At 45.7% G+C, this 12,097-nt stretch overlaps 1 protein-coding gene across 4 annotated transcripts in view; it reads left to right on the plus strand.

The window, feature by feature from the left end:
- FUBP3 (far upstream element binding protein 3) overlaps positions 1-12,097 on the plus strand; it is a 58,776-nt gene that overhangs the window by 32,842 nt on the left and 13,837 nt on the right. For all 4 annotated transcript variants that reach the window (XR_007061369.1, NM_003934.2, XM_005272232.3 and 1 more), the window contains exons 4-11: positions 38-87; positions 538-609; positions 1,870-1,927; positions 3,937-4,099; positions 5,379-5,477; positions 7,936-8,040; positions 10,290-10,392; positions 11,193-11,293. Coding sequence is in view for 3 of the 4 variants with exons in the window: in NM_003934.2 (NP_003925.1) it covers positions 38-87; positions 538-609; positions 1,870-1,927; positions 3,937-4,099; positions 5,379-5,477; positions 7,936-8,040; positions 10,290-10,392; positions 11,193-11,293 (751 nt within the window). In the remaining variant the exon portion in view is untranslated. The remainder of the gene's footprint in view (positions 1-37; positions 88-537; positions 610-1,869; positions 1,928-3,936; positions 4,100-5,378; positions 5,478-7,935; positions 8,041-10,289; positions 10,393-11,192; positions 11,294-12,097) is intronic.

Below are 12,097 nucleotides of genomic sequence, written 5' to 3' on the forward strand. Positions count from 1 at the left end.
ATTCTGTATTTTTTTCCAAAATGTTCTTTGTTTTTAGGACGGTAATAACGGAAGAATTCAAAGTGCCTGACAAAATGGTTGGATTTAGTAAGTATCCATGTTGTCTACTTTTTCCCTGATTCCTGTCTCTTCTTTTTCTCTCTTTTTTTCTGAGCTGCTTTGCCAGGATGTTCTTTTTGTTTTAATCTCTCTTGTGAGTATCACCTGTAGTAGAATGCTTTGCACATGCCATTCCCCACAGCTCTGAAATGCTGCAGGTCTCTTCAGGCTGAGGGAGAAACCAGAGCACTGGACTGTGGATGTCCCTCCCTTCCCCACCTCTCCCCACCTCAGCTCAGATCCCCTCTGCCTGTAGGCTGTTTCACAAGGGCTTTCTGCTGCCATCATGCCCAAAGAGTGGAGATGGGCTCACGGGGGCCAACTCGATGTGTAGTATTGTGAGCCAAGTGTCACAGTTTGTGGAATTAATTCAGTCATTCCTGCGTGGTGAAATATGGAATAGGGGCGTGTATTCTGACCCTGTTCAATTTGTTTCAGTTATCGGCAGGGGAGGTGAGCAGATTTCACGGATTCAAGCAGAATCTGGTTGCAAAATTCAGATTGCTTCAGGTAAGGGCTTTTTAAAAATAGATATCAATTTTGTAGAAATCAGTATTTTGCAAAACTTTCCAGATTCGGTACTTTGCTTGTTGCTTGGGTAAGTATATGCGATTAGTGTTTTCCTTGCACTTTGGGAGTTGGACTCCTAAATGAGAACCAGAAGGATCAGAGCAAAGGTGGGCCCGGAGATAAGGCCTCCTATCTGGCTTCTGGGGTAAACCCTCCCTCAGCTCTGTGGCCAGACATGGCCCCTTCCCAAACACCTGCCACTCTAGGACCTATGTTTTCTGCACCAGAATGTTATGCCAGACATAGTGGCATAGTGGGGCCTGTAGGAATCCTATGGCTTTGGGGTCACTCCTTGACTACATGCATCAGGGGAGGCTCCCATGGATGAGACTGTCCCTTCCCTTTGTGGGAAGAGGATAGCTGGGGGTCCTGGCTGAATTAGCACTCACTGAACATGTTTTATGACCTTTCCTAGCTGGGTCCATTTTGACCATGCAACATGGAGAGAGATGGAGTGAAGAACAATTTTTTATTTTATTTATGGTTTTGTCATCTAATTTGAGCTTGACCTCTTTCCATTGCAAAGGAAGGGGTTTGAAGGACATTTGACTAGAAAAATGTCCTTTTAAAAGATACTTATTACAGTGTCTTGAAGGCAGTAAGTCCTGTTAGCTATTTCTCTTTCATTTTTTTTGAGGAAGGATTTTAAGAAGCAAATTTTTTCAGGAACAAAATGAGGCATCACATGTGGTGTTAGAAAGTAACGTGTTTCTCTCATTAAATGGCCCAGTTCCACATAGATGTCACTGATCTCTTGGGACATTCATGCAGTAACTGGTATGGTCCTGATGTGCGTGTCATGAAGTTCCTTCCTAGAGTACTAGTTTACTTGCCGTGTGCAGACAAATGACCATTAAACTACAAATGGAGAAACTGAGGAATAGCACGATAAAGTGACTGAAACAATTACTAGCATGTGAGTGGGTCAGAAGTGAAGCTGAGATGGGTAATCAGGACCAACTCACAGACCTCTGTCACGTCCTTCTAGCTTCCCCTGTGGGACTTGTTTCTACTTCGAGAATCTAGGGTGGAGCTACCAGCTTAATATTCTGTCCACAAGTGGAAGCAAACTGTCTTTTTCTGGGAGCCTGGGCCTCTGCAGGGCTGGCGTAGGAAGCAGCCCTAGAGAGCCTTACAGAGGCAGAGGTGCATGTGCCCGGTGCCCACCAACACCCCTCATCTTCTTGATTCTTCTTATAGAGAGTTCTGGGATTCCAGAGAGGCCCTGTGTACTTACCGGAACCCCAGAAAGTATTGAGTAAGTTTATTTTATTTACTTTTTCTTTCACTCTTCTTCCTCCTTCCCCAAATGGGGAGAAATGGAAGGGCAACACTGTTACTGAACACTGAGTCTGTGCTGCAGTCTGGCCACACAGGTAGATAATTCCATAGGAAAAAAATCTGGGAGGTTACTGTGCCAGGGGTTTTTGTTACCTTAAATACACGAGATATCACATTTGTTCTAAACCCCACAGCTGTCATAACATCTACTTCAAACCAGGGTCTCAGGAGTGTACATTCACCCCACCTGAATGCTCTAATCAACTTACTTCTTCCTTGTTAACACCTCCTTTACCTGAGCAGGTCTGGATTAGTAAGCCAGTCACTTGGTGAGCTACTGAGAATCCTGGTACCAGGACTTTTGGCTGGAGGCTGATCCCGTTACCCTTCTGATATTTGTGAACCAAATGAATCAACTCTTCGTGACTTTGCTCTACTCAGAGGGCCGTACGGACTGGCCAGAGGATGTCTTGACTTTTGGCGCCCTTGCAACAGTCTTAAGACTAACATTGCTTTCCTACCCTGTTACTCACATACTCAGAACCTTATACCAGGTGCAGGTGTCATAAATCCAAGAATCTCCTGGGAAAGGGAAACATACTGACTTAGAGCCTGCTCACTGTCCTTCAATCTACGGAGCAGCACTGCATTTGGGGACAGGGGTGCTAAGATTATATCTGACTCAATAGGTAGGGTTGTTTTATTGTTTCCATTTCTCAGGGAGTCTAGATGAGCTTAAAGTCTCTTGTTCTGCCATCACATTGCAAGCAGTGAACCATAATAAATATCGCTGGCAGGTGTGCATTACAGGGCAACTGGATGGTTTGCTGGAGTCAAAGCATTTTTCTTCCAACACAGGTTAATCTAGTACACAGGCAAAATATTAAAAAGCTGCTGTAACTGGGAAGATACACGAAGCTGATTCTGTACACAAAGGCTCAAGACTACAAAAGGCAACATCTATTTCCTGCCTTTCTCTTCTTTCTTCCTACTCTTCTAACCATTCCTGCTTCCTGTCTACCCAAGGAGCAGAGGCAGTGGGATTATAACTTTAGGAGGAAACAAATTTCATTGTCTTCAGTGAGCAGCACAGCTAGCCTGTTTAGTAGCTGAATTCTTCTCCATTAGAGAAACCAAAAAGCAGATTGTGTGTGGCAATTTAGAGAATCAATACGAGAAATAACAACCAGGAGAAATTCTGGTGCAGAAAAGGAAATTGGCACAGCAGATGACTTTGGTGGTCTGGGCTGTGCTGTCACAACATTGCAGTTGCCCTCTCCCGCTGCCCAAGAAACCAACACAAATAGCAGGACACGTGACACGCAGGGTCCCAACTTGGCTGCCATGGAAAGCCCAAAGCAGGTGTCTGTGAGTGCACAGCTGCATCCAGCACCGCCTCCCCCTTTCCCACCTCTTGGAACCAAACTGGGATTCATAGCCTTAGCTTAAAAGTCATAGAGCAGTGTTGTTGGTTATGAAGAAGAAGCGTGGAGTATGGGAGTTCAGACAGTGAGTACTAATCCTTGCTTGCTTTCTTCCCATCTTTCTCATTGCTGGCTCTCTCTCCTGCCTGCATTTATTTAACAAATGTATATATTGAGTCTACTCTGTGAGAAGGGTCATGTTGGATGGGGGAACAGAGAGATGTAAAGGGATGAAAGATGGTCTCTGCCTCCAGAGCAGCTGGCATCCTAATAGGAGACGACACCTTTGTGGAGACACAAGCATGAGCAGAGGGCAGGCTTGAAAGGGGCGGCAAGGCTCTGTGTCACAGCGTTGGTACTGTGGTGTGTGTTGCTTTTAAATTCCAGCCCGGTAGCGTGGCGGATGGCAGAGAGACCTCCGGGTTGTGGGGGCAGGAGCTGGAGCTGGATGGAGGGCTGCCCTGACTCCCGCAGGTTTTTCCCTCAGTGCTATTTCCCTGTCTTGCACACTTAGAGCCTCCATTTAATGCTGGTTCTCTTGTGGTTCTTTTCCCTCCCAAAGACAAGCCAAACGGCTCCTGGGACAGATTGTGGACCGCTGTCGAAATGGACCTGGCTTTCATAATGACATAGACAGCAACAGCACAATCCAGGAGATTCTCATTCCCGCATCTAAAGTGGGTCTGGTCATCGGCAGAGGAGGGGAAACAATCAAGCAGTTGCAGGTGTGTGAGCCCGGAGCACGGAGCACAGCGGCCGCTCGCAGCAGGTCTTCAGCTTCCTGGCCCAGGAGATCTGCTTACGGCTGGCATTCCCTGGCTGGGCTGGCTTTGTGCAGCATTGTGCTGAGGCTTCCTTCCTCCATTTGACAGACAGCTTCTGAACATACACCACGGCCACGTCTGATGCCAAATATGATGCCAAGTACTAGGGCAGGTGTGCCCTATCAGGGGCCCCAGTGAACTTTGAGCAGCCTTTTTGGCAGTGAGCTCTGTGAGGGCTGCTTTTATCATCATAGGACAGCATCTCAGATAAAAGTGCAGTATTTGGAGTCAGAGGCTCTGACCCAGCATTCTTCCTCACTGATTGATCTTAAATGTGCTCATTTACTTTTTGAAGGTTCAGGGTCTTTGTGTGTCAAAAGGGGCAAGTGCAGGCTTCACTGTTGTGATGGAGCTAAAATAATAGCCGTTCTTTTCTTTTTATGTAAGAGCCTGTTACTGAGTGAATGTTCCATGAGCATTAGCTGCTGTTAGTGCCAGAATCCCTCATCTGAGACTCTCGGGACCAAACGGGTTTCAGAATTTAACACTCCCAGCAAGTTCTGGGGTTGTACCCTGAAATCAAATGCATATTTCTGTAGCAAAATAGAATAATACACTCAGAGAAAGGCAAAAAATACACTGACATGAGTTCAGTTTTGCTGCCAAATGAATTATAAGTAAACTTTCTTTCAGAAAAGGGATTTTGCAGTTGCGAGTAAAGGATTGTGGCTTCCCTTGCGTGCCATCTCATAACCTGGTCCTTGGGTCCTGGTTGTAAGGATGGTATCCTAATGTAGACTCAGGGAGTTTATCATTTGGGATCCCAGCCTCCCAGTTTTGGTCCGCCACTCATTAGCTCTGGACCTAGGGCCGTATGTGCTGAAGTAGAAAGATGGCAGGACTTGACTGTCAGTTCCACAGAAGTTCTAATCACATAATGTCAAATGGAGTGTGTGCCAAGTGCCTGGCATTCAGTGAAAGTAGCTCCTTAGTGCTTAGATGCTCCAGGGACTGGAATCATTTTAGGAGATGGTTTTACATCTCGCATTTGGACATGGTCGTACCCGACCTATATGTCTGCTGTCACAGAAGCCAGCTTCATGGCCCAGGTTGGAAGGCAGTCCCTGGTGGTAGGTGGGATGTGCGCTTATTGTGGGTGTGACTGGGTCCGATTTTGTGCTGCCCTGCATTTCATGCCCTGCATTATTCATGAGGCTGTGCTGGTGTGTGTTCCCCACAGGAGCGGACAGGGGTGAAGATGGTCATGATCCAGGATGGCCCATTGCCCACGGGAGCAGACAAGCCTCTTCGTATCACTGGAGATGCATTTAAAGTACAGGTAGGAAAGTGCCATGGGTTGGGTGAGTCCTGGCTGTTGGGGCTATCACTCGGTGGTACCCTAGAGCTTTTATCTTCCTCAAGTAATTGTGAAACTGGCAGCTCCGTTATTGAAGGTAAACTGTTCTCAACAAAGTTTGGTGATGAAAAGAATCTAGGTTTGTGCTGCCCAAAACCAGAGTCCTTAGCTACTTGTGGCTATTTAAATTCACTCAGATTAATAAAAACTGAGCTCCTCATTTACACCGGCCATATCTCAAATGCCCAGTAACACCTGAGGCTGGTGGTGACTGTTTTGGACTGTGTGTGTGCAGAACATTTCCGAGCTCTTGCTGGTGGCACGGCTCAGGACAGTTGGTTTTTTGTTTTGTTTCCCCCACGTCATCCTTCCAGGTGCAGTTTTGATTTGCTGACCTGGGGTCAGCTGAGATACAGGCTCTGCTTGGCGTTTACTTGCTCGTTCTCTTCTGGGCTTATTTTGCAAGCCCTTCAGCTAAGGTTGGAGGTGAGCACAGGGTGAGCACCAGAGCCACCCAAGTGCCTGGGCACCCTCAGAGCAAGTGTCCTGCGCCCCGAGCTGCCAGGCGGGACAGCCCCGCTGGCTGGAAGCAGTAAGGGACTTGGTTTTCTATCCCCTGGGGTGGTCCTGTCCTTCCAACTCTTGCTAGTAGCAGGAATTCAAGTGGGCGGAGGGTGTAGGGTTTTTGTCTGTCCTCAGTGAAACACAGATCTACTTTTTTCTGCCACCTGCAGCCTGTCTTGCCATTGCCACATTCAGAGTAGCTCCGGGGTGATGCTCCTTGGTGAGCCAGGCCACCATCAAGAATGGGTCTTCTCTGGGAAGAATGGGTCTTCTCTGGGAGCATTGGGTTTTGATCAGTGAAAGTATCCAGTCCCTGGCAAAATATTGCCCCCAGTTCTGAACCCTGTCCTTCAGCTAAGCTGGTCAAGGTACACCTGTAAAATAACAGCTTTAGAACAGGAGTGAGGGCAGTGGTGGGTATGGTTCTGCCTGGGGACTCCAGTCAGTGATACGGTTGTTCACTTCCATCGGGCCAGAGTCCCCATGCGCTGCCTCCTCCAGAGCTCCCAGCCTTCTCTCAGTGCGAACAGTTGGGCATTTAAGGAACCAGATTGCCTCTCGCCTTTCCCCACCCTGCTCAGCGTCCGGCCGTGGGCTCCAGTACTGTGATGGTGTTGGATCCAGGCCTGTGGGCGGCCACAGAGTGCCTGCCTCTTGGCTGCCCTCCCTCAGAGGCCTTCTTTTTCTATCACAGCCTTTGATGGTGTCTTTTGTAGGGAAAAACCCCAAGCAAAGAATATATCATTAATGTCCCATAAATTTGCAGGAAAATAATTTTAACTTAACGGGTTTTAGTGATTTTTAAATTTTAAAACTGTATATTTCATTTTTTTTTTTTTTTTCATTTAGGAGATGGAGCCTGCTGTACTTAGGGCACCTATGTATCTCTTCAACCTGCCTAACATTTTGCTGTATGTGTGTGCATGTGTGTGTGTTTCTTTACCATTGAAGTGGCAGATGTTATGACACTACCCCTAAATCCTTAAGCATGTGTCTCCTAAGAATAACCAGGCCTAAGAAAACTGTACTTCTGAAACATTATCTGGTATCCAGTACATGTCCAGATTTCTGCAAATGTCCTAAGGTTGTCCTAAGATTTAAATTGCTGACGGGTTTGTTTTGTTTCTTCCTAGACACAGTTCTCACATTCCCTTGAGTTGTAAGGTACAGTAGGTCTTTAGCGCAGATTCCTGTGTGGCTGGTACTGGCATGGGTTGGCCAACATGCAGTGATAGACTTGCCAAGTGTGTGTTTTGGGGAGAAGAACACTTGAATCTGCCTGGGATATAGTGACGTCCACAAGGAAGTCTCACCAGTAGGTTATAGAAATAAGATAGGCTTGCCCTTTTGTTGTTGTTGTTGTTGTTTGTTTAAAGCAATGTGTTTGGCTTTCAGCCTTTTCTTTTTAACTTACTGGAGTGCCTCTGTGTTGTAAAGCCTTGGCAAAGTTCTCTGTCTCATGGACCTGCCCTCAGTGGGCGCTCTTAGACACCCCTTCCTGCTAGAAAGAAATGGCATCAAGAAACACCTAGGCCAGTCCACTTTATTGATCAGAAAGAAAAAGATTTAAAAATGTAAAAACACCTAGGGGTGATAGGAATCCATTTCTGACCACACGCAGATGTGCTCACCCAACTGAGGCTTTTTATAGAAGGTGGACCCTTCCCCGTGTGGACATTTGGGCAGTGGAAAGAACACATCACTTAAGATACGATACACACATCCCCCTACATGTCCCATAAGCCATAAGTGAATTGTCCTACAGCTGAGCGCCTTTAAACCCAAGTTAAGAGGGTTTGATCTTGAAATTTCACCTGGTGATGTATCTTTTTTCAGGAATTTTTTCTCATAATGCTTTTTGTTTGTGTTTATGCAGCAAGCAAGAGAAATGGTACTAGAGATTATCCGAGAAAAAGACCAAGCTGACTTTCGGGGTGTACGCGGCGATTTCAACTCTCGAATGGGAGGAGGCAGTATAGAGGTATGCTTAAATTACAGGTTAGTAGGCAAATGAGATGAGGACTAAAGTTGTAGGTCACACTTTTGTTAGCTCTTTAACCCTGAGCAAGTTAGTTAAGTTTTGTCTCAAAACCTTAAGAATTCTCTGGCTCCTTAGGGTGGGTGTGAGGGTGGACTGGAACAGCAGCAGCCTGCAGTGAGGGAGCTGGCTACACTTCAGGGCGTGGGGCCATTTCCCTCGGTTTTGAAGCTTTGCTTTAGAGGTTAACCAGTTGCCCAGGTAAAAACCAAAGTTCAGGTTTTCTTGGTGATGTATATCATGATTCTGTCAAACTCAGCAGCCTGTGTTTATTGATGAGGTTGCAATGGGGTCAGAATCTATCCTAGAGAATGAAATTTTGTTGTATGCGACAACATGGATGAACCTTACAAACAGTATGCTCAGTGCAATAAGACAGATACAGAACAAATATTGTACGATTCCACTTATCTGAGGCACCTAGAAGAGGCAGATGCATACAGGCAGAAAGTAGCAAAAGCTGTCAGATGCTGGGGGAAGGAGGAGTATTGTTTAATGGGTACAGAGTTGTTGGGGATGATGAAATGTTTTGGATATGGATGGTGGTGATGGTTACACAACATTGTGAATGTATGTAATGTCATTGAATTGTGTACTTACAAGTGGTTAAATGATAAATATTATGTGTATTTTAGCCACAATAAAAGAAAAATGAAGGAAAAAAATGCATTTTAAAGAACCGCTAGGGCTATGCATGGTGGTTCACGCCTGTAATCCCAGTGCTTTGAGAGGCTTAGGCAGGAGTACTGCTTGAGGCCAGGAGATTGAGATCTGTCTGGGCAATATAGCCAGACACCACCTCTACCAAAACAAAAAAAAAAGTATTTTAAATTAGCCTAGTGTGGCACATTCCTATAGTCCCAGCTGTTCTAGAGGCTAAGGAGGGAGGCTCACTCCTCCCAGGAGATCGAGGCTGTAGTGTGCTACAGTTAACACCACTGTAACCCAGCCTGGATAACAAGTCCAGCCCAGGTAACAGTGTGTATGGTGTGTTTATTGGAAGGCAAAATTACTATTTTTCATCTTTTATCTATAAGGCTTATTCATTTTTATAACCATTTTGATCAAATCTCAAATTGGATGCATTTAACAGTTAAGAATGCAGTTCAGGCCGGGCATGGTGGCTCACGCCTGTAATCCCAGCACTTTGGGAGGCAGAGGCGGGTGGATCACAAGGTCAGGAGTTCGAGACCAGCCTGGCCAATGTGGTGAAACCCTGTCTCTACTAAAAATACAAAAATTAGCCGGGTGTGGTGACGCGTGCCTGTAGTCCCAGCTACTCGGGAGGCTGAGGCAGGAGAATGGCGTGAACCTGGGAGGCGGTGCTTGCAGTGAGCGTAGATGGTGCCACTGTACTCCAGCCTGGGCGACAGAGCAAGACTCTGTCTCAAAAAAAAAGAAAAAAAAAAGAACGCAGTTCAACCACAGTATTATTCCTAAAAGGGAAAAATGTCCTTTATTATATCATTTCCAGGAATGCACTATAATAAAAACTAAGTTGCGTGTTAAAAAAAAATGTGTCCTGGGCCGGGCGTGGTGGCTCGCGCCCATAATCCCAGCACTTTGGGAGGCTAAGACAGGCAGATCACTTGAGGTCAGGAATTCAAGACCAGCCTGGCCAACATGGTGAAACCCCATCTCTACTAAAAAATACAAAAATAAACTGGGCATGGTGGCGGGTGCCTGTAATCCTAGCTACTCAGGAGGCTGAGGCAGGGAGAACTGCTTGAACCTCAGGGGTGGAGGTTGCAGTGAGCCAAGATCGTGCCACTGCAGGCTGGGCAACAGAGCGAGACTCCATCTCCAAAAAAAAAAAAAAAAAAAAAAGTGTCCTGGCCAGACACAGTGGCTCACGCCTGTAATCCCAGCCCTTTGGGAGGCCGAGGTGGGCGGATCACCTGAGGTCTGGAGTTCAAGACCAGCCTGGCCAGCAAGGTGAAATCTCATCTGTACTAAAAATACAAAAATTCGCCGAGCATAGTTGCCTGTGCCTGTTTTCTCAGCTACTTAGAGGCTGAGGTGGGAGAATCATTGGAACCCGGGAGGCAGAGGCTGCAGTGAGCTGAGATTGTGCCACTGCACTCCAGCCTGGGCAACAGAGCGAGACTCAGTCTCAAAAAAAAAAAAAAAGTGCCCTTTAAAAAGACAGGTTTGTGAAAAGTTCTGATGTGGTTTGGTTTCTCTGTGCCTAGGTATCTGTGCCTAGGTTTGCTGTGGGGATTGTAATAGGAAGAAACGGGGAAATGATCAAAAAGATCCAGAATGATGCTGGTGTGAGGATTCAGTTTAAACCAGGTGGGTATGATGATTTAAAAATCCTTAGTGTTAAAAAAAAAAAAAAATCCTTAGTGTTAAAAGGATGATAAAACACCTTACAAAACAAGGGCTTGGCTATTGGTTCATGTGTATTCACCTTTCTCATCCTTGCAACATCCTGCTACCAGATGACCAATCTCAGTTTCTTCTCCCAGCCTTCTTTTCCCTCCCCGGATACATGTCGGTCACCTTTGATTTCCAGGCCTTTTTTCTTTTTTCTTCCTGGAGTATATGCATAGTATGTCATAAATGCATAGTATGTCAGCTTCTGATTTTGCCAAGTAAAATTTTAAAATATATATGTATAATTTTGATTTTATTAAATTGGAGATAATTTAAAACCACACACAAAGACAAAACATCTTAGAATAAAGGACAAATTTTTAAATTTTATAAATTTGCCTTAATGAGCAAAATTTTCGACGTGGTCTGAAAAGAGGAAAACATGGCAGGCTCTTCTCTGGAAGCTGTTGCCATAGCTCTGCTCTGACTCCCTTGGCTTTTTTAAAGTCAAGCTTTGTTTTAGTTCTTTAATGATACATTTTTTAAATGGCTATAATTGCATAAGAATTGAGCATTGACCTGAAACATGCAAAACAATATAATGACACACATTTTCCTATCACCCACATCACTCCAAAAGAGTCCCTGCAGCTGGCAGTATTCCTGTTGCCCCTTTTGGCACCGCGGGTGAGAATATTGATTGGGAATCAGATTAATCCTTGTTTCCTTCTAACGTTGGGCTTTTTTCTAATCCTGTCTCTCACCTGGCTCCTCAGATGATGGGATTAGTCCAGAAAGAGCTGCCCAGGTCATGGGCCCTCCGGATCGGTGTCAGCATGCAGCGCATATCATCAGCGAGCTGATTCTTACAGCCCAGGTGGGTCCAGCTCTGCAGAGTGTGAGTGTTTGGGCTGCAGAAGTGGAAAGTGCTACCCGGGGCTCTCGGTGCAGCACCATAGAGCTGTCACCCTGAGGCGTCTCAAGTCACATTATGGGAAACCAGCAGTTTCTCTACATCAGCCTCTTTCCTGCCTTCTTGGTATTTTTTTCTGCTCATTAATTATTCTGCCTTTATTTACCTCACCATCTAGATTGCCTTTACACAGTAAGTTTCTGGCTATTTAAACCATGTGGGGAAATACCATGGAGATTGGTCGCCAAGTTTCAAATAATCAAGTGTATTTAATGTTAATCTGTGTTAGTGAAATCCAGTCTTAGTGGTAGAAGACACTTCAGGGTCCTCCAAAGTCCTAAAGCTGCCTTCATGCACTTGATTTCATGCACATCTTTGGACTGTGAGCCAGCCTGTGTGACAGTGCTAGGAACCCCTATAACTGATGGTAGGACTGAGGATACATTTGAGAATGACCAGAACGGAAGAATAAAGCAAGAGATTGGAAATTATAGTCCCAGCTCTGCCATCAGTCATGTGACCTTGGAGCTGCCTTTGAACCTCTGGGTCTGGTGTTCCCAGCAGCAGACTCAGGGTGCTTTGCACCAGGCAGTGCTCTCTATGTGATCCCCTAAGAGCCATCTGGTGGTTCTTACTCAAATTACAAATGTGTAGGCCCCCACCCCAGATCTACTGAATCAGCATTTCCAAGGGAGGGTCTTGGGTCTTCACTAGAGACCCAGGCAATTCTTAAGATTAGACAAGTTTATAAAACGGCCACTAAATCAA

This window comes from Homo sapiens, chromosome 9, assembly GCF_000001405.40.
Source record: "Homo sapiens chromosome 9, GRCh38.p14 Primary Assembly".
NCBI classification, from domain to species: domain Eukaryota; kingdom Metazoa; phylum Chordata; class Mammalia; order Primates; family Hominidae; genus Homo; species Homo sapiens.